Raw genomic sequence first — 25,642 nt, forward strand, 5'->3', positions numbered from 1 at the left:
TGCACCACCATGCCCGGCTAATTTTTGTATTTTTAGTAGAGATGGGGTTTCACCATGTTGGCCAGGTTGGTCTCGAATGCCTGATCTCAGGTGATCCGCCCGCCTCGGCCTCCCAAAGTGCTGGGATTACAGGTGTGAGCCACTGCGCCCCGCCACCAGTTTCTTCTTTTGGTGCTCAAAAAATGATTCTTCAGAACATCATGGAAAGGGAGCAAAGAAAAGAATAGCTTTACACTAAAGAAACAGGTGACCAAGGTGAACACCAACAGCCATAAGTCACGTTGATAGTGCCCTTGATATCATGGGATGAGAATGACACTTACCTCTGTGGTCTCCCTCTCCAAAACCCAAACGCCAGTCTACTCAAGAGGAAAACATGAGACACATCCCAGTTAAAGGACATTCTGCAAAATCCTGACCAGCACCTCTCAAAATAGTCCAGATCACCAAAAACAAGGGAAGTCTGTGAAACTGTCACAGCCAAGAGGAGCCTACAGAGACATGATGACTAAATGTAATATAGAATCCTGGTGGGATCCTGGGACAGAATGGGGGCAATAGGTTAAAAAAAAAAGAAAGCTGAATAAAGTGTGCACTTTAGTTAATAATATTAGTTCATTAACAGTGACATATGTACCACACTAATGTAAGATGTTAATGACAGGGGACATTAGGAATGGTGAAAAGGGATGAAAAAGAAATAGAAAAATAGAGCTGGGCGCAGTGGCTCACGCCTGTAATCCCAGCACTTTGGGAGGCCGAGGCAGGCAGATCACCTGAGGTCAGGAGTTCAAGACCAGCCTGGCCAACATGGTGAAACCCCGTCTCTACTAAAAATACGAAAATTAGCTGGGCATGATGGCAGGTGCCTGTAATCCCAGCTACTTGGGAGGCTGAGGTGGGAGAATCGCTTGAACCCAAGAGAAGGAAGTTGCAGTTAGCAGAGATCAAGCCATTGCACTCTAGCCTGGGTGACAGAGCGAGACCATCTCCAAAAAAAAAGGAAAACATTTAAAAAATTAATAATAATAGGGACACTGGGCACAGGGTATACAGGAATTCCCTGCACTATAATTCTATAACTCTAAAATTGTTCTAAAGTAAGAAAGTTATTATTTTAGAAAATACTCTTGAATGAATGGCTGTGTTCCATCCCTACCCATCTCCAAAGCACAACCCACCAGGTTTACATAACAGGGCAGTGCAGCAGCGAAGTCAAAAGCACAGACACGGCCAGGCGTGGTGGCTCACACCTGTAATCCCAGCACTTTGGGAGGCCAAGGCGGGCGGATCACGAGGTCAGGAGATCGAGACCATCCTGGCTAACACGGTGCAAACCCCGTCTCTACTAAAAATACAAAAAATTAGCCGGGCGTGGTGGCGGGCGCCTGTAGTCCCAGCTACTCGGAAGGCTGAGGCAGGAGAATGGCGTGAACCCGGGAGGCGGAGCTTGCAGTGAGCCGAGATCACGCCACTGCACTCCAGTCTGGGTGACAGAGCAAGACTCCATATCAAAAAAAAAAAAAAAGAAGCACAGATGCCAGCCTCTGGCCCGTGAGGTTTGAGTCCTGACTCTGCCACTTACTGCTGATATAGACCCCTCAAAGCTTCCGTCTCCTTTATATTAATGGGGGGGGGGGGAGGGGGGGCAGGTGATAACAATAGCATTTATGTCACAGAACTATCAAGAACGTAATTAAAACTCTTAGTGCAGTGTCCAAGTCAGAATATAGGGGTTAAGAACACATGGCTCAGAGATAAGAACCTGTGGGAGGAGGACTGCCTTACGGGAGAGCTCTGTTGGCCGGATGCCCTCCAGGTCCCACACATCACGCCATGAAGATGGCTGCCTCCTCCTGGGGAGGATGGAGTTGAGGAGGAGGAGGAGGAAGGCGGCGTCTGGGATACCTCCTGTAAGTGCCATGCCTGGGGCCTCCTTGGAATGTTGGGGAAGTACAGGGTGTTGCTGTGATCGCTACAAAGACATCCTGGTCTCAGTGTTCATGACCGGGGCACGCTGGTGAGCACAATGCCCGGAAAAGCCACGCACGGCCCAGCAAAACAGACGGCGTGCCTGTCCGCTTCCCCTCGCCGCCCCAGACAGCTGCTCACCCAACCCTGCTGAGGCATCGCAACCTTTGCCAGGAATGCTGGGCATACCACCCCACAAACAGAGTGCAGGGTAACACGGGCCTCCAGTGCCCCCGCCAGCTGGGCCCCAGTACGGCCATCCAGAGTGGCCAGGCCAGCATTGCCCTGGGACAATCTGGCTTCCTCGGAGCCCATCCCCTCGGCATATATGGAGCATTCTCCATGAGCAAGTCCCTGAGGGCCGCTTGCTTTCCTGCAGATGGATGGAGGTCTGTGATGGGCCTGAACTGGAAGTCATAAAACACGGGTGTGAGTTCTGCCTCCTTCTCTAATGAGCCGGATGGCCTTGAGTAAGTCACTCACCTTCTCAAGGCCTCGGCTTCCTCCCCTGTCGCTGGGAGAAATTGTGTCTGTCTGAAGTATCTCACGGCCTGGGAAAATCAAAGCGAATCACGTTGACGCAGGTACTTGGTACGCCCTGAATCACCGCCCCTGGTTACCCACAGGAGCGTCTAAGCAGGCCTGCAAGGCAGCCTGCAGCTTGGCCTCTACCCGTGTGATGCAGCAAACACACTTGCAAGGCATGTTCTACTCTTCAAATGACGGTATATAGAACCCGCGGGTACTTATAAGGTGAAGATTGACCCTGTGTGAATGACAAGGAAGTGATTCCTGAAGTTCCAGAGGGAGGAAGGGATTTGCTCAAAGTCACCCAGCAGGTGAGTGACAAAGCTGGCCCTTGGACGAGCCTCCTCCTCCCATGTCTTTCAGCCTCACAGAGGGACAGAGTTTGACTGCGGGACTCAGCCTGAGGCAGGGGACAGAATCCCTGAGTGTGCTCCTGGCCAGTGGCTTCATCTCTCATCTCTCTGTGACTCTGTTTTCTTTAGCTGTCTATGGAAAGAATAAGCATGAGAAGCATTCAATTTGATTCAAACTGAAGCACTGCACCTGCTTTGTGTGAGACACTTTAGCCACCTCAGGGGTACACACACAAAAGCCCACTGTCCCTGCCCTCAAGGAGCCTATCATATAATGACAGTCACTAAAATTTGAAGATCTCTTTACAGTTCACCTTTACTTCTGATATGGTTTGGCTCTGTGTGCCCACTCAAATCTCATCTTGAATTGTAATCCCCACGTGTTGAGGGAGGGACCTGATGGGAGGTGATTGGATTATGGGGGCGGTTTCCCACATGTTCTTGTGACAGTGAAGGAGTTCTCACAAGATCTGATGGTTTAAAGTGTTTTGCAATTCCCCCCTCACACTCTCTTTCCTGCCTCCTTGTGAAGAAGGTGCTTGCTTTCCCTTCGCCTTCCGCCATGATTGTAAGTTTCCTGAGGGCCTCCCCAACCAGGCAGAGCTGTGACTCAATTAAAACTGTCTTCTTTGTAAATTACCCAGTCTCAGGTGTGTCTTTATAGCAGCATGAGAACAGACTAATACACCTTCTCTCACTTTTTCTTCAAAATGATAGGCAGTGTTATTGACGCTGTTTCACAAACGAGGACCTCCGATGGAAGGAGCTAGGCTACCTGGGAGAAATGATATTCTGCTGGCATCCCACTACACTTTCTACCTGAGGCATCGTCCCTAAAACACTAGGACATCAGGAAAACCTAATGATGACTACTGTTTCATTTAGGGCCCTCTCAGCTGCAAGTACAAAGACATAGAAACCAAGTATTGGGTTTTTAGCTGAGAAGCCCAGCATCAGGCTGGACCACCATCTGCGCATCCTGTCTGGGGTTCATACACAACAAAGACCTGATTTCTCTCCTGTTCTCCGCTCAGCTTTCATGGTCTCCTGGAGCTGAGATCTTCTCAGCCCACAGGTGATGACAGAATGGAGATAGTGGTTCCGGCTTCAATGCTTCCAGGTTCAAGTCCACGGGGAAGAACCCTGCCTCCCTCTCAGAAGGCTCAGCTCCAGTCCCCTGGGTTCCAGTAGAAGCCCAAGCCCCTCCAGGAACCCCTTACTGTTACTGTGAAGGCGGAATATGGCTTTGGTTAATTGAGGCCAACTCACAGTGCTAGATCAATCCCCCTAAACCACAAGGGCGGAGGGTGGGACCAGATAGGTTATTAAGGGAAATTTGGGTACTCTTTTACCCAGAGGGTGAACAGATGCTAAATGGCCCAACTATGCACATGTGTAGCCATCCACTGCAACAATGCGTAGTAGTTGGTTAATAAATTTATTTTCATTTACCAATTGATTTATCAGCAAAATGAATAAAAACTAAGTAGGCTACCTGTAAGAAAAGGTAATAAAATATGTAAAAATGAATTAAACACTGTAATCTGCCTCAAGTGGATTCAGTGGCTTTGTCTGTGATTCCCTGAACCTGCTCTCATTGGATAATTTCACCTTATTAGTATATACACCACAACCTCAGAAGGCAACTATAAGAGCCAGATGCCTGGACAGCCATATGGAAAAAAATGCAAAATTTGATCCATTCCTCACACCATATACCAGAATAAGTTCCAAATGGATCATGAATCTAAATATAAAAAAATGAAATGATACAAGTGTTAGAAGAAAGGATGGGTATTCAACCCATGTTGTTTGAGTTTTAAAAACCAACAACAAAAAGAAAGGATAGGTAAATTTCTCTGTGAGAAAACGTAAATAAATTTAATTACATATATATATATATGTAATATAGCCAAAGATACCATACACAAAGTAGAAAAAGAAAATAATGGAGAAAACAGTTGCAACCAAGTTCATAGAGAATGGGTCATTGTCCCAAATATTAAAGGACTTTTAAAAATAAAGAGGCCAAGCACAGTGGCTCACGCCTGTAATATCAGCACTTTGGGAAGTTGAGGCAGGCAGATCACTTGAGGTCAAGAGTTCGAGAGCAGCCTGACCAACATGGTGAAACGCCATCTCTACTAAAAATACAAAAATTGGCCAGCATGGTGGTGTGTGCCTGTAATCCCAGCTACTCAGGAGGCTGAAGCAGGAGAATTGCTTGAACCTCGGAGGCAGAGGTTGCAGTGAGCTGAGATCACACCACTGCACTCCAGCCTGGGTGACAGGGTGAGACTCTGTCTCAAAAAAAAGAAAAGAACCAGTAACCCTGTAGAAATAAATGGGCTGGCAAAATGAACAACTGCTCTCAATTTTATGAAAAAAATGTTCAACCTTGCTCATAATACAAGAAATGAAAAATTAAAACTACACTAAGATGGCCAGGCGCGGTGGCTCACGGCTATAATCCCAGTACTTTGGGAGGCCAAGGCGGGCAGATCACGAGGTCAGGAGCTCAAGACCAGCCTGACCAACACGGTGAAACCCCATCTCTACTAAAAATACAAAAAAAACCCAGCCAGGCATGGTGGCAGGTGCCTGTAATCTCAGCTACTCAGGAGGCTGAGGCAGGAGAATGGCATGAACCTGGGAGGTGGTGGCTGCAGTGAGCTGAGATCCCGCCACTGCACTCCAGCCTGGGTGACAGTGCGAGACATGAGAGTCCGTCTCAAAAAAAAAAAAAAAAAAACTACACTAAGATAACTTTTAGATTGTCAAAAATCTAAAAGTTTGACACTATACTCTTTTGGCTACAGGGAGATTAGCCCTTTCATATGTTGCTAGAGGAAATACAAAATGGTATAACCATTACAGGAATTTGGCAATGTGTAGCAAAATTATATATGCATTTAACCATTGATTCAGAATTTATCTGGGCATTTATCCCATAGATACTGTGTATTAAAAAACAGAAAAACATATGAACAGGTTTGTAATAGCAAAAGACAGGAAATAACCCAAATATCCATTGGTAAGGAACTGTTAAATCAACTAAGCAGTAGAATACCACGCAACTGAATAAAGAAGTAGAGAAATGAGGGCTGCCTTCATCCCTACGTGAAAAAAGCAAGATGGAGAAAGATGTGTGCAAAATGTTTCCACTTATCCACGAAAAGAGGGGTAAAAAATATATAGATATGGGCTGGGCACAGTGGCTCATACCTGTAATCCCAGCACTTTGGGAGGCTGAGACGGGCGGATCACAAGGTCAGGAGATCGAGACCCATCCTGGCTAACATAGTGAAACCCGGTCTCTACTAAAAATACAAAAAATTAGCCGGGCATGGTGGTGGGCGCCTGTAGTCCCAGCTGCTCGGGAGGCTGAGGCAGGAGAATGGTGTCAGTCCGGGAGGCGGAGCTTGCAGTAAGCCGAGATCGCGCCACTGCACTCCAGCCTGGGCAACAGAGCGAGACACTGCACTCCAGCCTGGGCAACAAAGCGAGACTCTATCTCAAAAAAAAAAAAATAGATATAGATATAGATATAGATAGATATCTTACATTTCATAAAACAGATAATAAAATAATAAACCATAAACTAAATTGAAGGAGATGAAGGAAGCAAGGGAGAAGAGACACCAAGACAGAAGCTAATATTTTAATCAATGCATTAATACTTCATTTTGTAGATTTCACTCTGGAATCATTAAGTATCTTATAGGTTTTTTTTAAGAAACAAGCTCGGGGCCAAGTGTGGGGGCTCACACTTGTAATCCCAGCACTTTGGGAGGCCAAGGCGGGAGGATTGAGCCCAGGAGTTCAAGACCAGCCTGGGCAACATACTGAGACCCCATCTCTACAAAAATTTTAAAAATTAGCCAGGTGTGGCCGGGCGCGGTGGCTCATGCCTGTAATCCCAGCACTTTGGGAGGCCGAGGCGGGTGGATCACGAGGTCAGGAGATCAAGACCATCCTGGCTAACACGGTGAAACCCCGTTTCTACTAAAAATACAACAACAACAACAAAAAATAGCCAGGCGTGGTGGTGGGCGCCTGTAGTCCCAGCTACTAGGGAGGCTGAGACAGGAGAATGGCGTGAACCCAGGAGGCGGAGCTTGCAGTGAGCCAAGATCACGCCACTGCACTCCAGCCCGGGCGACAGAGCGAGACTCCATCTCAAAAAAAAAAATTAGCCAGATGTGGTGGCACTCACCTGTGGTACCAGCTACACAGGAAGCTGAGGCAGGAGGATCACTTGAGCCCAGGATGTCGAGGCTGCAGTGAGTCCTGTTCATGCCATTCTACTGCAACCTGAGGAATTGAGCAAGACTTTGTCTAAAAAAAAAAAAAGTAAAATAATAAAAAGCAAGCTCTGAAATTAAAAATAAAACAAATAAACTTAACTGTAATCTTCTTGGTGACTAGAGAAGCAGTACTCCAAGTGACTTGAAAGTACAAAATTCAACTGTACATCCCTAGTGCATTCTATCTCAAGGAAGAGAAGACATGGGGAAAATTGTAAGTGTTTTCAATGATCATATCATTGAAGATAATGCTGGTATTGTCATTCCGGAACTGCCGAGTATGTACTGCGGGATAAAGCAAAGGCCTGCGTATGTTCTATCATCCTTAGGGTACTTAAGACTGAAATTCTTGACATGAGACAAAGGGGACACAGGTGTGAGATAGAAGAGGTTAAGTAAGAACTTCATAGTCTTGAGTTTGAATTGGAAATATCAGATTTTATGGTTAGTTATGTAGCAATTGTGGACCGATACCATCGGTCTTTTACGATCGAAGGGATTCATCTTCCCCTACCGCTCACTCCCCCATCTACCCAATAAATCACCAGAGCTCTACAGCTCTAATTCAGAACTCCTCCCAGCTCTGACCCTGCTCTCCAGCCCGACTGCCACTGCCTCGATGACGGCCCACCAGCCCTGACCCGCACTTTGTTTTTTTTTGTATTTTCAGTAGAGACAAGGTTTCACTATGTTGGCCAGGCTGGTCTTGAACTCCTGACCTCAGGATCCGCCTGCCTCGGCCTCCCAAAGTGCTGGGGTTACAGGTGTGAGCCACCGTGCCCAGCCCTGACCTGCACTTTTAACAGTGTCTTTGCTAGCATTGCTGCCTCCATCTCTCCCCAGCTCCAGTCTCCACCATCACCAGGATGATTTTCCCCACCAAATGCTGACTAAGCCATACTCCTACTGCATCAAGCAGGATTCCAGAGAGAAGTGAAACACCCAAAGGGGTTTTCTAAAGAGAGCTTAAATCAGGGATGATTTACAGTGATGGGGGTAGAAGTGGTGAAGCACCCAAGGACCAGCCACAGCTGAAGCCTTTACCACCTACGCCTGCCTGGTATCTATCACCAGAGTCAATGCCACCTGGAGCCAGGGGAGGGGGAGCCCGACAGGAGCTGTGGTCGCAGAGGAAGGCAGCTGCCGTCAGAAATGGGACAAGGCAGTGGGAGACAGACATCCCTGTCTCTTTCTCTTCCTGCCCGCCAACCAGTGGGCAAAGGAGCCTGGCTGGAGCAGTCTGTAGAGATGTCAGAGGAGGATAGAGAATGGAGGGGCTAGGGGAGACAGGGCAAACTAAATAGCCAGCACACCCACTTAAGGCCACTATTCACTCCCCATGCTCTCAGGAGCAAGCCCAGGTTCTCCGGCATGGCATACCAGGCACGCATGAGCCGACACACTCTCTCCCTACGACCTTGGTTCCTGCTAGTGGCCTCCCACCATCCCCATGCCCAAGTGACAGTTACCCCCAGACCTGCATAGCCCTCTCACAACTTCCCACCTTGCCAGACCCTATTCCCTCTGCTTGTATCACACCTTCCCTATTCCACCCTCTCCCCTTCTTCACATGTCAACCTCCTATTCACCCTTCAAGGCTTTTTTCTGATGGCATCTCCTTCATTCAGCCTTCACCAAGTTCTGCACTTAGAGTATCTCCTCTGTTCCCACAGCCGTCTACACAGGCCTCATCGGAGCAGCCATGGCCTTGTTCTAAGGCTGTTCACTTGTCTGTCTCCCTGTCCGTACCGCAAGCTCCCTGAGGTCTGAGACTGGGTCTATTCATCTCTCCATCCTCGGCCTAATGGTACTAGACACATAGTCAGCCCATAAATATTTATTGAATCAACCAATGAATAAAAGAGAAGACTTTTGTGTCTTTGTTTCCCATTCCTTTTTTCCCCCACTCTCACAATGGAGAAGCGTCATGGGGCAGGAATAAAGAGAAAGAGGAATGTGTGCCCCATATTCACTCCATACTCTCCTCTCCCCATCCAGTTCCAGGCTCTGCCTTATACAACAAGGGAACCTTTCTCCTTGGCCTTTCTATTGCTGGACGGTACCAGGTTTGACTCAGGGGACCTGAGGAAAAGGCTTTATCCCCCAGAATGCCTGCCCTGACCCCACAGAACCAGGGTTGCCTGAAGCAGCCCCAGCCAGACTTTCTGCAGTGGGAGCCGTCTCATCCAGGAGACGCCACACTGCTCATCCTGGTCAGAGGCTGGTCAGAGGCTGCAACTGCCCCTGGCTATTCCAAGAACAGGCAATTTGTCAAAACGTCTCTGAGCAGGCCCCAGGGCCAGCCACTCCTTCCCTCCTCCTTCCTTCCCCATCCATTCATTTACCCGTAGGTATTGAGTGCTCCCAAGGGCCCAGGACTGGCTTCCCGGACTTCCAGTCCAGCAGGAGAGACACATTGAGCAAGTAATAACAAGTGTGACGAGGCTATAGGGAAGACAGAAGGAAAAGGAGGCCATGGAGGGAAGGAGCAACCAAGAACAAACGAAGGGAAAAAGGCAAAAGCAGAAAGAGGCGTCACAGGCCAGCCCCTCCCCACTCTTCCCTGCATTCCAGAAACCAGAGGGCCTGGAGAGGAGGCACCAATGAGCCACAGAGATGCATTGTATTCATTTTCTGGGGCTGCAGTAACAGAATGCCACAGACTAGGGGGCTTACACAGCAGAAATGTACTGTCTCACAGCTCTGGAAGCCAGAAGCCTCCAGGCTCCTTCTGAGCACTGTGAGGGGGTCCGTCCCATGCCTCTCCGCTGGCATCTAGGGGTTTGCTGCAGTCTTTGGCATTCCTGGCTTGTGGATGGCATTCTCCCTGTCTTCAATCAGCTTCCCTTTGTATGTGTCCCTCTACACATGGCATTCACGTGTGTGTTAAAAGTTACCATTTTTAAGTAGTTCAGTGGCCTTGAGTGTATCCACAATGTTGTGTCACGTTCCATCTCCAGAACTTTCTCATCATCCCAAACGGAAACTCCACATCCATTCAACACTGACTCTCCATACCCCATTTCCCAGCCCCTGCTCACATCTATTCTACCATCTGTTTATGAATTTCACTATTCTAGGCAGCTCCTTCATGGAATCACACAGTTTGTCCTGATGTGACTGGCTTATTTCACTGAGCACAATGCCTTCCGTTTTCATCCATGTTCACATGGCACTATTTTATAAAGGATCCCAATCATAGAGGGCTAGGGGCCCACTCTCCTCTAGTCCAACCTCATTTTAATTTAACTAATTCCCTCTGCAGCAACCCTATCACCAACTAAGTTCACATTCTGAGGCACCGGGGATGAGGACCTCAACATAGGAATCTGGGGGGACACAACACAACAGGTGTGCCGTGACCGAGACAGAGATGGGAGGAACAGAAAAAGCCACCCTGACAGGCAGCATGGGAGGGGTGATGAGCAAGTTCTTGTTTTGTTGACCCTTAACCCCTCTGTACTCCCTACAGGAGCCACTTCCCTGGCGTGCTTCCCCAGCCCGGCTGACTCACTGGACAGGAAAAGGAAGGGCAGGAATTCAGGCCGATGAGCCAGGGACCCTCACCTCTGGCCGGGCCTGGCACAGCCTCCTGGGGAGCCCCCGCACACCAGCCCTCCCGGCACCACTCGGTGTGTCCTGCCTGGCTGATGGGCAGCCACGTATGCCCCACCCTCCCCTGACCGTGCCCACTTACCCAGGGGCCCAGCTGTCTTGGCTGGCAGGCTTCCATTGCAAGTCACTCCTCCATCCACACAGATCACTCACGTCCCTCATTCCGTCCCTCGTTCCACAGAGCGTGTTGACACCCACTGCGGGGCAGGCCTGGCTGCAGGCCTGGAGATGCAACAGCAGCAAAAGGAGCAGCCCCTGCCCCAGGAGGCTCCCATTCAAGTGAAGGAGGCAGACGAAAGGCCACAACAGTCGAGTGCACACTGTCAGATGGCGATGAGGGCCAAGGAGGCACAGCAGCAGGGGAGGGGATAGGGAAGGCCCCGGTGGGCTGGGCTGCGTGAGCCACCTCTGACAAGGGTGCCTGGGAGCAGAGGCCCAAAGGATTGGACAGAACCAGCCATGTGGATCCTGGGGGAGAGGATCCAGGCTGAGGAAGCAGCAAGGGCTCAGGCGAGAGCGGGAGTGCCCCCATCCTTTCCAAGAAACACCCACGAGTCCAGGGTCTGTGTGTGTGTGTGTGTGTGTGTGTGTGTGTGTGTGTGTATCTATATGTGTGTGTCTGTATGAGTATGTGTCTGTATGATGTCTGTGTGTCTTTATGTGTGTGTGTCTGTGTATCTATATGTGTGTGTCTGTATGTGTATGTGTCTGTATGATGTCTGTGTGTCTTTATGTGTGTGTCTGTGTGTATCTATGTGTGTATGTGTGTGTCTGTATGTGTATGTGTCTGTATGATGTCTGTGTGTCTTTATGTGTGTGTGTCTGTGTGTGTGTCTATGTTCCTGGGTGTGTGTCTGTATGTGTGTACCTATATGTGTGTGTGTGTGTATCTATATGTGTATGTGTCTGTATGTGCATGTGTCTGTATGATGTGTCTATGTGTCTCTATGTGTGTGTGTCTGTACGTGTGTGTGTATCTATATATGTGTCTGTGTGTCTGTGTGTGTGTGTGTGTGTGTGTGTGTGTGTGTGTTGGGAAATGGCAGTGGCAGGTGCACTATATGGTGGAGACACTGGGTTTTAGGCTTTAATGAGTTTGGGTTTTACCCCCAAGAAACTGGGGGTAAAAGAGGGAATAAAAGCAAAACATCCCATGCCCTCAAGGAACGTCTAGTCCAGGATTAGAAGTGGGGCAGTCCCAGGAAGGAGCCATCTTGACAGTGAATTCACGCGGAAGACGCGTGAACCCAGCTGGCCTGGAGAGACAGAGGTGCTTTGCAGGGCATGGGGAAGCCAGCAGGTCCCAGTCGAGAAACCTGGTTTTCTGTCTGGGTTGGTTGAAGACTCTTTGTCCCAGAAGGAGTCGCTTGTTTGCTTGTTCATCTTAAGTTTAAATTGAGAGAGGTTAACGGCTTTTGCCTCAGAAGGCAGGCTGGCCTGGCAGGGTGTGTGTTGTGAGGTGCAGAAACACATCTTCCCCAGCTGGCCTCACAGGCCAAGAAGCAGATAATGTCTTCCTTCTGCCAGCTTCCCCGCAGCTTGGTTTTCCTGGGACAGTTCCTCCGCTGGAGGAAGGGACAGGGGATGGGGACAGGGGATGGAGGAGGAGTTGGGGAGACCCTTCAGAGAGTGTGGCAGAAACACGTGTGTACAGGCTGGCACACGAGTCACAGAGGCAACAGGGTGGCTGCGGGGAGAAATGTGAGCAGAGCTCATGCAATTGTCGTGAGTGAGTGCGCTCTCGCGGCTCTAAGGATTTGGGAAAACAACTTGCAGATCCAGGCATGTTTACGTAGGGAGGGGTGCCGTGTGCTGGACCAGGTCCAGAACTAAAAATAACACAGTATTTCTGTGCCCAGCAAGAGCGCTAGCATCTGTGGGGTTTGCGTGGTGGGAAGAGTGTGGTTTCAGCTGAACCAGGCGCAGTGTGACCAGAACAGTAGGAGGGAAGGCCAGGCCTGGGTGGGAGGCCCCAGGATGGGCGGGGGAAGGACTGAGGGCGAAGGCCATCCCAACTCGCAGCAGAAAAAGCCTCCAGGCGGTCACGGGCTGCCCATCTCGTGAGGCCAGATGTGGGTCCTCCTGCATATCTGAAACAGCACAGAGCATTGGGGCAGCCTCCAAACCTCCCCTATAAGGAGCAGTTAAGGGATCCAGAGGGCGTGGCCTGGAGCAGAGAGAAGGGAAGCAACATGTGTGGGGCATTCACAAGTGCAGGATGCCTTCTCCGGGCTCCCATGATGATCCAGACAGGTAGGCGTTTTCCTTCCCTTTTTGCAGATTGTGAAAACAGCGTTCAAAAAAGACTCATGGGCCGGGCGCGGTGGATCACGCCTGTAATCCCAGCACTTTGGGAGGCCAAGGCAGGCAGATCACAAGGCCAGGAGTTGAAGACCAACCTGGCCAACATGATGAAACCCTGTCTCTACTAAAAATACAAAAATTAGCCGGACGTGATGGTGGGCACCTGTAATCCCAGCTACTCAGGAGGCTGAGGCAGGAGAATCGCTTGAAACCGGAAGGCAGAGGTTGCAGTGAGCCGAGATTGCGCCACTGCACTCCAGCCTGGTCAATAAGAGTGAAACTCTGTCTCAAAAACAAACCAACCAACAAACCAAAAACTCTTGTAACCCTGGGGCCACCCAGCCACAAAGAGGCAGGGCTGGGACAGGCCCCTGCAAGTCTCCTCTGGAAGGCCAAAGGGCTGCTACTAGGAAGGGGTGGCAGACTCATCCCATGTGGCTTCAGAGGGCAGGACATGGACAAAGGTTATGGGAAGGGAGGGAAACTTTCCAATAACCAGACTGCACAAGAGTGGAGTGGCCTGCCTCAGGAGGGGTAAGCTCATGCAAAAGCTGGCTGTTGGGGACATTGGGAGGGACTCTGAAGGTCACCACCACTCTGAATCAATGCTGTGTGGGAGGATGCCAGGGTCCACTGGACCCATGACGTGCCTTTAGCGTGGGAAGCAGGGAACCTCAACTTTGGAAAGAGTGAGGGCACAGTGATGTCCAGCCACTCCCAGAAGCCGTCTGTTAATAGAGCAACCCCTCGGGCGGTGTGCAATCCTAATGACCAGCCCCAGGACATTGGAAACAGGGTCCTGCTGACCACAGTCTAGGAGACAGGGCTGCACACAGACGGAACCAAGCACACAAGACGAGAGAGGGTGTGTACCGCAGAAACCAAGGGCTCATTTATGTGCTGCGTTCTCAGTCTGCAAGGAGTCAGAAGAGAGGACAGTGAGGCCAGGAGAACTCAGGGAACACTCCTTGTTGTAATCATCACAGTTATGTAACTCATATTACCAGCTGTTCTTTCGTGAGCATTCTCTATGTGCCAGGCTAAGTGTTTTGTATGCACTGTATGATTTAATCCTAGAACAACACTATGAAGCAGGAGCTCTTAGTATTCCCCTTTTACAGATGAGGAGGCAGGCTCAGAGAGGTGATGTAACTTGCCCAGAATTATATAACTAGTGTGTGGCAGAGCCTGGACTCAAGCCCAGATCTGTTGGACTCCAGACCCCGTGTAGAACCATAAGGAACTGATGCTGCTTCAATTTCTGCACTGATACGGAAATCTCTCCGAGATATCATGCCGTTGTTTTCTATTGTTGCTATAGCATATTATCACAAGTTTAACACATATTTATTGCACACTTCTGGAGGTCAGCAGTCTGACATGTGGGTCTCACTGGGCTAAAATCTCAGTGTGGGCAGGGCTGTGTTCCCCTCTGGAGGCTGCAGGGGAGAATCCCTTTCCTTGCCTTTCCCAGCTTCTAGAGGCTGCCTGCATTCCTTGGCTCCTGGCCCCTCCTCTGTCTGCAAAGCCACCATTGTCATGTCTCTCTAACCCTTTGTCCCAGTTCCCTCTGACCACAGCCAGGAAAGATTATCTGACTTTAAGGATCCATAGGATTAGATTGAGCCCACTTGGATAATTCAGGATACTCTCCCCATCTCAAAGTCCTTAATCACATCTGCAAAGTTCTTTTTGCCAAGTAAGGTAACATGCACACCTGGCAGGGATTAAGGTGTGGTCACCTTTGTGGGGGCCATTATCCTGCCAGCCATATAAAAAGGAGAGAAAAGAGGCCAGGCGCGGTGGCTCACACCTGTAATCTCAGCACTTTGGAAGGCTGAGGCGGGCGGATCACCTGAGGTCAGGAGTTCAAGACCAGCCTGGCCAACATGGCAAAACCCCATCTCTACTAAAAATACAAAAAAATTGGCTGGGTGTGGTGGCTCACGCCTGTAATCCCAGCACTTTGGGAGGCCAAGGCGGGTGGATCACAAGGTCAGGAGATCGAGACCATCCTGGTTAACACAGTGAAACCCCGTCTCTACTAAAAACAAACAAACAAAACTCTACTAAAAAAAAAAAAAAAAAGAGAGAGAGAGAGAAAAGAGCAAGGTGCCGAATCAGTAGCAAGGTGCTTCTTCTGGTGTTAAAAAATTCTTAAATGGGGAGAATAACAATATATACTAGTATTTGCATAATGAAGGATACATTAAGGAACCAGTATTGGGGAAGAGCTAGCCTGATGGGGACAAGACTGGATGGAGATTTTTGCTGTCGTTATGCAAGTGTTCAAACACACGCAAAAGTAGAGAGAACAGTATAATGAATCCCATATACTCATCGCTCAGCATCAACGATTTTGCATTCTTATTGCATTTTATCTCTCCACTTTTTGGGAAGGGGACTGAACAATTTAAAGCAAATCCCAGACATCATATCATTCTACCCATAAAAACTGCAGCGTGTATCTCTAAGAGATACGGTTTTCTCAGAAACATAACCATGGCCGGGCGCAGTGGCTCATGCCTGTAATCCCAGCACTTTGGGGGGCCGAGGCGGGCGGATCACGAGGTCAGGAGATCGAGACCATCCTGGCTAACACGGTGAAACCCTGTCTCTACTAAAAATACAAAAAAATTAGCTGGGCGTAGTGGCGGGCGCCTGTAGTCCCAGCTACTGGGGAGGCTGAGGCAGGAGAATGGCGTGAACCCGGGAGGCGGAGCTTGCAGTGTGCCGAGATCGCGCCACTGCACTCCAGCCTGGGCGACAGAGCGAGACTCCGTCTCAGAGAGAAAAAAAAACAAAAACAAAAAACACATAACCACAATGCCATCATCACACGTAAGAAAGTTAACAATATTTCCTTAACATCATCTAGTCCTTAGTCCATATTTAAATTTCCCTAACTGCCTACAAAACCTTTTTTTTAATAACTGGTCTGTCTGCATCAGGATTCAAGAATCAGGCCCACACGTTGCCCTTGGTGGACAGAACTCCTAAATCTCTGTTACAGATTAACAGTTTCCAGGAGAAACACGTTTCCCTCTCTTGTATCTTTATTTTTCAGTTATATAAACAAATGATCTATTTTTAAATGAAATTTAAAATAAAAATCTAATGCTTCATGGAGATAAGGCTCCCAAGGGGTCCCAAAAAGTGGTGGGTGAGGGGAAGCCTCAGTGGAGCTCTGGGCTGGAGCGGATGGGAGGCAGAAGGCCCCACCAAAGCTACACGTGGTGAACAGACTTGGGGAGTCTAGGCTCTGACATTCTGGCTTCCTGGCCTGCTTGGAGGTGGGTGGGGAAGTGGTGGGAATGCCAGCGATACAATTTAGCCCTGAGGAAAGTCCCCAAAGTCAAGAGTGCTGCAGTCACTCTATGTGGGTAGGGTGGGAGAGCCACAGGAAACCCACCATCCCTCCATCAGAGCCATATCACACTCCTAGACCCAGGTGTTAAACCAAAGCGTGCCCAGATTGGACAACCGGGAAAAATGGAGATGCGCAGAATGTGCAGGACGGGGGAGGGGTTGGCTAAACTGGAAGTCGGGAGGTCCAAGTCCTACTCTAGCTCTGCCACCAGCCACCTGCACAGTCCTGTGAGAGCCACCTCTAAACACATTCCCTCTAGTAACCACGGCTGGGAGAGGTGGAATGGCGAATAACATCTATTAGTGTTTGCTTGTATTTGCATAAAGAAGGGCACAATAAAAACCGAAGCAGCATCAAATGAGATCCTGGGTATGGAAAAGGGAGTGTCAATTAATATTGTTAACAGCCAGATCCCAAAACCCCAATCCTACCAAGTTCCCAACATTATCCCTAATTTAAGAGAGGAGTTCTGCAGGATGAATAGGAGTTTGCTGGAAACAAGAAAGTTATTGTAGAGAAAGAGAATGACAGGGTCAAAAACAGAGAAATAGGAAATGAGCCCAGTGAGTCCAGAGAATTTAAAAAAATGCAAAATACAGGGCGGGCGCATTGGCTCACACCTGTAATCCCAGCACTTTGGGAGGCTGAGGCGGGCAGATTGCCTGAGGTCAGGAGTTCGAGACCAACCTGACGAACATGGTGAAACCGGTCTCTACTAAAAATACAAAAACTAGCTAGGCCTGGTGGCAGGTGCCTGTAATCCCAGCTACTCAGGAGGCTGAGGCAGGACAATCACTTGAACCTGGGAGGCAGAGGTTGCAGTGAGCCAAGATCGTGTCACTGTGCACTCCAGCCTGGGCGACAGCGAGACTCTATGTCCAAAAAAAAAAAAAATGCAAAATACAAAATGCAATGTGGAAACTTGGATTGGATTCTGGAACAGAAAAAGGACATCAGTGGAAAAACTGATGAAATCTAAATAAAGTCTGCAGTCTAGTTAACAGTATTGTACCAATGTTGATTTCTCAGTTTTGACAAATATACCACGATTATATAAGACGTTAACATTAGAAGGAAGCTGCACTATCTTTGCAACTTTTTTTAAACTGAAATTATTCCAAAATTAAAAGTTTATTAAGAAAGAGGGTTGGCAAGAGGTGGAGATTGCAGTGAACTGAGATCATGCCACTGCACTCCAGCCTGGGTGACAGAGGGAGAGGAAAGAAAGGAAAGAAAGAGGAAAAGAGAAAGGAAGAAAGGAAGAAGAAGGAAGGAAGGAAGGAAAGGAGGGAGGGAGGGAAAGAAAGAGAGTTCGAGGTATTTAGGGAAGTAGAGCTGTTAAAAGCTAGAGCAGGCCAGGCATAGTGGCTCACACCTACAATCCCAACACTTCAGGAGGCCAAGGCGGACAGATCCCTTGAGTCCAGGAGTTGGAGACCAGCCTGGGCAACATGGTAAAACCCCATCTCTACAAAATATACAAAAATTGGCTGGGGGTGGTGGCGTGCACCTGTAGTCCCAGATACTTGGGAGGTTGAAATGGGAGTCTCGTTTGAGTCTGTGAGATCGAGGCTGCAGTGAGCCATGATCTCACCACTGCACTCCAGCCTAGGTGACACAGTGAGACCCTGTCTCAAAAATAAACAAATAAAACCAGCTAGAGCATATAAGGTGCCAGAGTGGGAAATCAGGTGCTGGACGTCAGCAGAGGCTGGTTTACAAAGGCCCGTGCCACACAATGAGGTTCAGACTTCCTTTGTCTTTAGGCAGTGACTCCATGGCCATATTCTCCCTCTCTCTAAACCCTTCCCACAGGCCACAGGTAGACATTAGTGACAGCTTCTTACCTTCACTGTATTTTACCTGCCCATATCTACCTGAACCTACAGACGAAAGTCCCATCTCTTATACACAGACACACATGCAGACACGTGTGCACACACACACTGGCCCTCTAGGGGGACCTTTGTCCAACCCACCCCAGATACAGCTGGGAGAGACAGCGACCCTGCCTCTGGGTGCTTATAGTTTCAGGAGCATCAGCCAAACATTATATGAGACACAAAGAAACTGTCAGCAAGATAGATTCAGCAACTTCGTTTGCCCTTTGATATGAATAAAACCTTCTCAGGACCAGCTTAGGCTAAGCTGTGTGGAAATGGGAAGCAGGCATAGAGCTGAGCCCAGTGGCCCCCAGCACTGCCCTGTCCCCACCTGTGTCTTGCTACGGCTGCCTGGTCAGTCCTGCTCTCAGATATCTGGACCCCTGCAACTCCTCACTTCCCTAACTCTTCCTCGCCTTGTTACCATCTAATGATTGGCGTCCACCACATCCTATATCACCAGTTAGGAGGTGAGTTTCTCATGAGCAAAACTAGGGCGTGGCTTATCCTGGGCACCTCCCACAGCCTAGCACTCAGGTGCTCAGTAAATGTGGGGTGAACAGGACCTAGCATGCTGGGCAAAGACACTCAGAAGACAGAGCTGAAAATGCTCATCTTGCCAACATTCTCCAAGACTCCAAGCCTTGGGGCTATTTAGCATTTTATAACAACCAAGTCCACTACTCCTGTACTGAGATTAAAATTGAAAATCAAGTTTATAAGCACCCTTATAGTTTACAAAGCACTTACACATCCAGGATTTCATCTGACTCTCTTACAACAGCAAAGTAGGAGTTTTTACTAAGCCCATTTTGTGGATAACGAAATGGAGTCTCAGAAAAGCAGAGACTTGCTCAGGTCATCTCTGCTCCCAGGTAAGTATGCAGTAGGGCTTGCACCTGTGACTTCTAATTTCAAGCCCCATGCTAATTGCCTACAGCTTCTCTACCCTCTTACGCAGGAAATACCACAAATACATAGCCCCCAGAGTCCCTGCTCCTCCACCTGAAGCCAGAACCACCAACCAGAACAGAAGCCAGCAGCCACAGAGTGAAGAGAAGCTGCAGCTGCTACCCATGGGCTGGCATTGCCTACCACTGAGCCAGGGGCAGGCTGCCTGGGCACATACCCGCCCATCCCCACCCCTCATGGTGGAGAAAGAGCAGTAATCATCCTCGCTCTGCAGCTGTGGAAAGCGAGCCTCAGAGGAACAGACAAGCACCAGCAAAGGCAGGACCCAATTGCAGGCTCACCACCTGTCAGCAGCCCTAAGACTCAGAGTCGCCTTGCAGGGAGGCACCTTCAAGATGGCACAACTGCTGAGGAGTCATCTGCAGCCCCTTCACCCACCTCTACAGTCAAAGGGCAAAAACGGCAGTGTAGTGCCAGTCCACATTTACCTACCACAGGAAGCAGCAGCTTAGCACCTGGGCTCTGGAACCAGGCCACCTGGGTTTACATCCCGGCTCTGCTGCTTCCTAACAAGAGCATGAACCGCCTGTGACTTGGCTTCCCCATTTGTAAAACTATCAACCTCAAAGGGTTGTTTGTGGATTGAGTTTATATACAGCAGTTAGAACAGCATTAGTTACATCTTATGTACCCATGCAAGTGTTAGTTCTTCAGACCTACTACATTAAGTGTCTGGAAGGTACCTACTGTGGGTACAACAGGAGCTGGTAATCTAGCTGGAGAGTATTTATTTATGGGGAAGGAGTCTTGCTGTGTCGCCCAGGCTGGAATGCAATAGCACCATCTCAGCTCACTGCAACCTCCGCTTCCTGGGTTTAGGCAATTCTCCTGCGTCAGCCTCCTGAGTAGCTGGGATTACAGGCACCTGCCTGAAGGGATGGGTTGCTCCTCCACACCTGTGGGCACTTCTCATTAGGTGGAACGAGACTTGGAAAAGAGACACAGAGACAAAGTGTAGAGAAAGAAAAAAAGGGGGCCCAGGGTGTGTCTGGAATTGGTAGGTCCTTGGTCTCACTGACTTCAAGAATGAAGCCACGGACCCTCGCGGTGAGGTGAGTGTTACAACTCTTAAGGTGGCGCGTCTGAAGTTTGTTTTTTCTGACGTTCAGATGTGTTTGGAGTTTCTTCCTTCTGGTGGGTTTGTGGTCTTGCTGGCTTAAGGAGTGAAACTGCAGACCTTCGCGTTGAGTGTTACAGCTCTTAAGGCAGCAAGTCTAGGAGTTATTCGTTTCTCCCAGTGGGCTCATAGTCTCACTGGCTTCAGGAGTGAAGCTGCAGACCTTCGTGGTGAGTGTTACTGCTCATAAAAGCAGTGCAGACCCAAAGCGTGAAAGAACAAAGCTTCCACCACGTGAAAGGAGACCCGAGCGGGTTGCTACTGCTGGCTCACGCAGCCTGCTTTTATTCTCTTATCTGGCCCCACCCACGTCCTGCTGATTGGTAGAGCCCAGTGGTCTGTTTTGACAGGGCGCTGATTGGTGCGTTTACAATCCCTGAGCTAGACACAAAGGTTCTCCTCCTCCCCACCAGATTAGTTAGATACAGAGTATCGACACAAAGGTTCTCCAAGGCCCCACCAGAGCAGCTAGATACAGAGTGTCAATTGGTGCATTCACAAATCCTGAGCTAGACACAGGGTGCTGATTGGTGTGTTTACAAACCTTGAGCCAGATACAGAGTACCGATTGGTGTATTTACAATCCCTGAGCTAGACATAAAGGTTCTCCACATCCCCACCAGACTCAGGACCCCAGCTGGCTTCACCCAGTGGATCCCGCACCAGCGCTGCAGGTGGAGCTACCTGCCAGTGCCGCGCCCTGCGCCCACACTCCTCAGCCCTTGGGTGGTTGATGGGACTTGGCACCGTGGAGCAGGGGGCGGCGCTCATCGGGGAGGCTCGGCCGCACAGGAGCCCACGGAGTGGGTGGGAGGCTCAGGCATGGTGGGCTGCAGGTCCCGAGCCCTGCGCCGCGAGAAGGCAGCTAAGGCCCAGTAAGAAATCGAGCGCAGCGCGGGTGGGCCAGCACTGCTGGGAGACCCAGTACACCCTCCGCAGCCGCCGGCCCGGGTGCTAAGCCCCTCATTGCCCGGGGCCCGCAGGGCGGGCCGGCTGCTCTGAGTGCGGGGCCCGCCAAGCCCACGCCCACCTGGAACTCCAGCTGGCCCGCAAGCGCCGCTCACAGCCCCGGTTCCCGCTCGCGCCTCTCCCTCCACACCTCCCTGCAAGCTGAAGGAGCCGGCTCCGGCCTTGGCCAGCCCAGAAAGGGGCTCCCATAGTGCAGCGGCGGGCTGAAGGGCTCCTCAAATGCCGCCAAAGTGGGAGCCCAGGCAGAGGAGGCCCCCAGAGTGAGCGAGGGCTGTGAGGACTGCCAGCACGCTGTCACCTCTCAAGGGGACCAGCGTTCAGCATACGGAGGATCCCGCCAGCCTCTGAGTTCCCTTAGTATTTATTGATCATTCTTGGGTGTTTCTCGGAGAGGGGGATGTGTCAGGGTCATAGGATAATAGTGGAGAGAAGGTCAGCAGATAAACACGTGAACAAAGGTCTCTGCATCATGAACAAGGTAAAGAATTAAGTGCTGTGCTTTAGATATGCATACACATAAACATCTCAATGCCTTACAGAGCAGTATTGCTGCCCGCATGTCCCACCTCCAGCCCTAAGGCGGTTTTCCCCTATCTCAGTAGATGGAATATACAATCGGGTTTTACACCGAGACATTCCATTGCCCACCTTCCTCTTGTCTCAACTGCAGAAAGGTGTTCCTTCCTCTTTTACTAATCCTCCTCAGCACAGACCCTTTACGGGTGTCGGGCTGGGGGACAGTCAGGTCTTTCCCTTCCCACGAGGCCATATTTCAGACTGTCACATGGGGAGAAACCTTGGACAACACCTGGCTTTCCTAGGCAGAGGTCCCTGTGGCCTTCCGCAGTGTTTGTGTCCCTGGGTACTTGAGATTAGGGAGTGGTGATGACTCTTAAGGAGCATGCTGCCTTCAAGCATCTGTTTAACAAAGCACATCTTGCACCGCCCTTAATCCATTTAACCCTGAGTTTGACATTGAGATTAACAGCATCTCAAGGCAGAAGAATTTTTCTTAGTACAGAACAAAATGGAGTCTCCTATGTCTACTTCTTTCTACATAGACACAGTAACAATCTGATCTCTCTTTTCCCCACACCCGCCATCATGCCCAGCTAATCTTTTTTTTTTTAGACGGAGTCTCACTCTCACCAGGCTGGAGTGCAGTGGCGCAGTCTCAGCTCACTGCAACCTCCGCTTCCTGGGTTCAGGCGATTCTCCTGCCTCAGCCTCCTGAGTAGCTGGGATTACAGGCACCTGCCACCACGCTCAGCTAATCTTTTTTTTTTTTTTTTTTCTGAGACGGAGTCTCGCTCTGTCGCCCAGGCTGGAGTGCAGCGGTGTGATCTCAGCTCACTGCAAGCTCTGCCTCCCGGGTTCACGCCATTCTCCTGCCTCAGCCTCCCTAGTAGCTGGGACTACAGGCGCCCGCCACCACGCCTGGCTAATTTTTTGTATTTTTAGTAGAGACAGGGTTTCACTGTGTTAGCCAGGATGATCTCGATCTCCTGACCTCGTGATCCGCCCGCCTCAGCCTCCCACAGTGCTGAGATGATAGGCGTGAGCCACCGCGCCCGGCCGCCCAGCCAACTCTTTTAAACAGATGCATGAAACCTGAAATTATCACCCAGGACAAATCTTGTAAGAGTCTAGTGGATGATTCAGAAAGAAGTTGCTACAGGAGTGTCCTGAGAAAGAGGATCAGAGCAGACTAAGATGACTGAGGGTGCTGGGGAAGGCAGGGGCTGGGCTGGCCTCAGAGATGGTGCAGGCTGCTTGAAGGGCAGAAAGGAGGAAGTGCCAAGAGCTTGGGCTTCGGAAAGAAGAGGTGGGGACCCAGGCATAGAGCTGGGGATGCATGTGGTATTCCAAAAGAGTGAACAGATTTGCAAACAGAGGTTAAGGCGAGAGAGCAGAGGGCCTGTATGATGATCTTACAATTGAGACATCGGCTTTCCATACATTCAATAAATATTGTGCACCTACTGTATGTCAGGCACTGTTCAAAGCCCTTGGGATACATAGAGAACAGAACAGCCATGCGGATTTTGCATTCTAGCTGGAGGAGACAGGTAAATAGCAATGCACATACCAAGGAAACATTCCACTCTGTGAGAAGGTAAATGCTATGGGAGCATTGTTTGGAAGTAGAACAGGGGTAAGGGGAGTTGGGAGATCTTTGAGCAGGAAAGAGTAAAGCTGAGCTTCAGGAGTCTGATGAAAGGATGATATTAAATATTGCTTGTTTAGAATTGCTCCCCGCCTGCCCCCAACCCCCATATACTAAGGAGGACAGACCCTGAGAGCCATGATTTGTTTTGCTGAGCAGGGTGAGGGGAGGTGGGGACACAAACGGAAAATGCCAAGTTTAGAGCTAAATTGCTCCACACAGACATATGCAGAGGACATCCACAGGGCAGGGGGCTGGCTGAGGCTGGGCTGGGGGGCAGATGATAGGGGTGGCTGCCACAGATTGGACGTTTGAGAAGAGCTATCCAGAGGGATTCTTAGAATGGTTCTCTCTGGCATATGAGAGGGAACCCCTCATCCACCTATCCGTGAAACCTTCATAAAATCCACACTGGACATAGGCAGTTTCCAGGTTGAGTGTGTGTGTGCTTAATGCAAGGAAAAGAAGTGATGGGTGAGAGGAGGGCAGCCCACCCCCAAGGACGCACGCAGCAAGACTCTCTGGGTCCAATGTTGTGTCCATCCTGGGCAGGTGAACAGCAGCGAGGCAGGGCAAGGGTAGAACAGCCGTTTGGGCTGCAGATGAGCTTCCAGGATGCAGCCCCCTTGCGGATGGCAGGGCATCAGGGGGAACAAAAGATCAGGATCCAACCCTGGACTGAAACCAGAAGCTCTGAGGTCTGATCTGTGCTCTGCCACTCAATCACTACAACCCGCCTTAGCCCTGGTGCCTCCCAGCAATGACGTAAGAACAGCTAAGAAACAGGAATCACATTCACTAAGCAGCTGTGAGGCTGGGGGAAGGAGGAGCCCCAGGTGATGGGAGGTGTTGGTGCTGACTGATTAGAGACAGGGAGGGCTGAGGAGAAAGTCAGCTGCGAGCCTAGAAAGCCCTTGGAGATTATGAATTCTGATCTTGATGTTTACATTGAGATTACTATATTTCCTATTGCTTCGGTAACAACCACAAATTTAGTGGCTTAAAGTAACACATATTTACTATTTCACAATTCTAGAGGTCTGAAATCTAAAATGGGTGGGCAGGGCTGTGTTGGATCCCTCTGGCAGCTGCAGGGGAGAATTCGTTTCTTCGCCTTCTCCAGCTTCTAGAGGCTGTCCTTGTTCCCCAACACACAGCTGTGCATCACTGCGACCTCTGCTTCTGTCGTCACATCTCCTTCCCTGGCTTTGACACTTCCACCTGTCTCTTATAAGAACCCTTTGGATTCCACTGGGCCCACTGGGATGGTCCAGGCTATGCCATGGAAAGTAACACATTCACAGTTTTGGGGATTGGAACGTGGGCCTATTTGGAGGGCCGTTAGAAGTGGAAACGGGCCAGGCACGGTGGCGCACGCCTGTAATCCCAGCACTTTGGGAGGCTGAGGTGGGCGGATCACCTGGGGCCAGGAGTTCAAGACCAGCCTGACCAACAGGAGGAAACCCCATCTCTACTAAAAATATAAAAAATATAAAAAATATAAAAAACACGGTGGCTTACGCCTGTAATCCCAGCACTTTGGGAGGCTGAGGTGGGTAGATAACGAATTCAGGAGTTCAAGACCAGCCTGGCCAATATGGTGAAACCCCGTCTCTACTAAAAATACAAAAATTAGCTGGGCATGGTGGTGTGCGCCTGTAGTCCCAGCTACTTGGGAGGCTGAGGCAGAAGAATCACTTGAACCCGGGAGGCAGAGGTTGCAGTGAGCCAAGATCGTGCCACTGCACTCCAGCCTGGGTGACAAAGCGAGACTCCGTCTAAAAAAAAAAAAATTATTAGCCGGGCATGGCAGCGCACACCTGTAATTCAATCTGCTTGGGAGGCTGAGGCAAGAGAGTCTCTTGAGCCCAGGGATGGAGGTTGTAGTGAGCCGAGATTGAGCCACTGCACTCCAGCCTGGGCAACAGAGCGAGACTTGGTCTCAAAAAAAAAAAATCTGCAGGCTCTTGGATATCAGGACTTGCATTTACAGAGAGATGAGTTAAACAGAGAAAATGGTGGAAGGCACAAAAGGGGATGAGTGCTCCAGGAGAGGTCTGAGAGAGAAGGGCAGGGGCCTGAGAAA

At 49.8% G+C, this 25,642-nt stretch overlaps 2 long non-coding RNA genes across 2 annotated transcripts, besides 5 other annotated features; one reads left to right on the forward strand and one right to left on the reverse strand.

Annotated features, from left to right (window-relative positions):
- Positions 1–91: 91 nt before the first annotated feature.
- LOC105369623 (uncharacterized) lies at positions 92–11,289 on the reverse strand. Its single transcript, XR_931588.3, has 3 exons — positions 10,857–11,289; positions 2,455–2,522; positions 92–188 (listed from the first exon to the last, which is right to left on the reverse strand). It is a non-coding gene; the product is annotated as an uncharacterized LOC105369623 (long non-coding RNA).
- LOC105369622 (uncharacterized) lies at positions 1,830–4,284 on the forward strand. The gene is made up of 3 exons (XR_931587.3): positions 1,830–1,913; positions 2,598–2,810; positions 3,570–4,284. It is a non-coding gene; the product is annotated as an uncharacterized LOC105369622 (long non-coding RNA).
- Positions 10,386–10,956: an enhancer, noted in NCBI's record as "H3K27ac-H3K4me1 hESC enhancer chr12:6289294-6289864 (GRCh37/hg19 assembly coordinates)". NCBI's record gives its function as "activates a minimal SCP1, AML or CMV promoter by ChIP-STARR-seq in primed H9 embryonic stem cells {active_cell/tissue: H9 hESC(primed)}" and the evidence as "EXISTENCE:reporter gene assay evidence [ECO:0000049][PMID:30033119]".
- Positions 13,415–13,594: an enhancer, noted in NCBI's record as "active region_5842". NCBI's record gives its function as "activates an Ori minimal core promoter by ATAC-STARR-seq in GM12878 lymphoblastoid cells {active_cell/tissue: GM12878}" and the evidence as "EXISTENCE:reporter gene assay evidence [ECO:0000049][PMID:35858748]".
- Positions 20,655–21,340: an enhancer, noted in NCBI's record as "H3K27ac-H3K4me1 hESC enhancer chr12:6299563-6300248 (GRCh37/hg19 assembly coordinates)". NCBI's record gives its function as "activates a minimal SCP1, AML or CMV promoter by ChIP-STARR-seq in primed H9 embryonic stem cells {active_cell/tissue: H9 hESC(primed)}" and the evidence as "EXISTENCE:reporter gene assay evidence [ECO:0000049][PMID:30033119]".
- Positions 21,341–22,026: an enhancer, noted in NCBI's record as "NANOG-H3K27ac-H3K4me1 hESC enhancer chr12:6300249-6300934 (GRCh37/hg19 assembly coordinates)". NCBI's record gives its function as "activates a minimal SCP1, AML or CMV promoter by ChIP-STARR-seq in primed H9 embryonic stem cells {active_cell/tissue: H9 hESC(primed)}" and the evidence as "EXISTENCE:reporter gene assay evidence [ECO:0000049][PMID:30033119]".
- Positions 24,354–24,403: a silencer, noted in NCBI's record as "silent region_4157". NCBI's record gives its function as "represses an Ori minimal core promoter by ATAC-STARR-seq in GM12878 lymphoblastoid cells {active_cell/tissue: GM12878}" and the evidence as "EXISTENCE:reporter gene assay evidence [ECO:0000049][PMID:35858748]".

This window comes from Homo sapiens, chromosome 12 (assembly GCF_000001405.40).
Source record: "Homo sapiens chromosome 12, GRCh38.p14 Primary Assembly".
NCBI classification, from domain to species: Eukaryota; Metazoa; Chordata; class Mammalia; order Primates; family Hominidae; genus Homo; species Homo sapiens.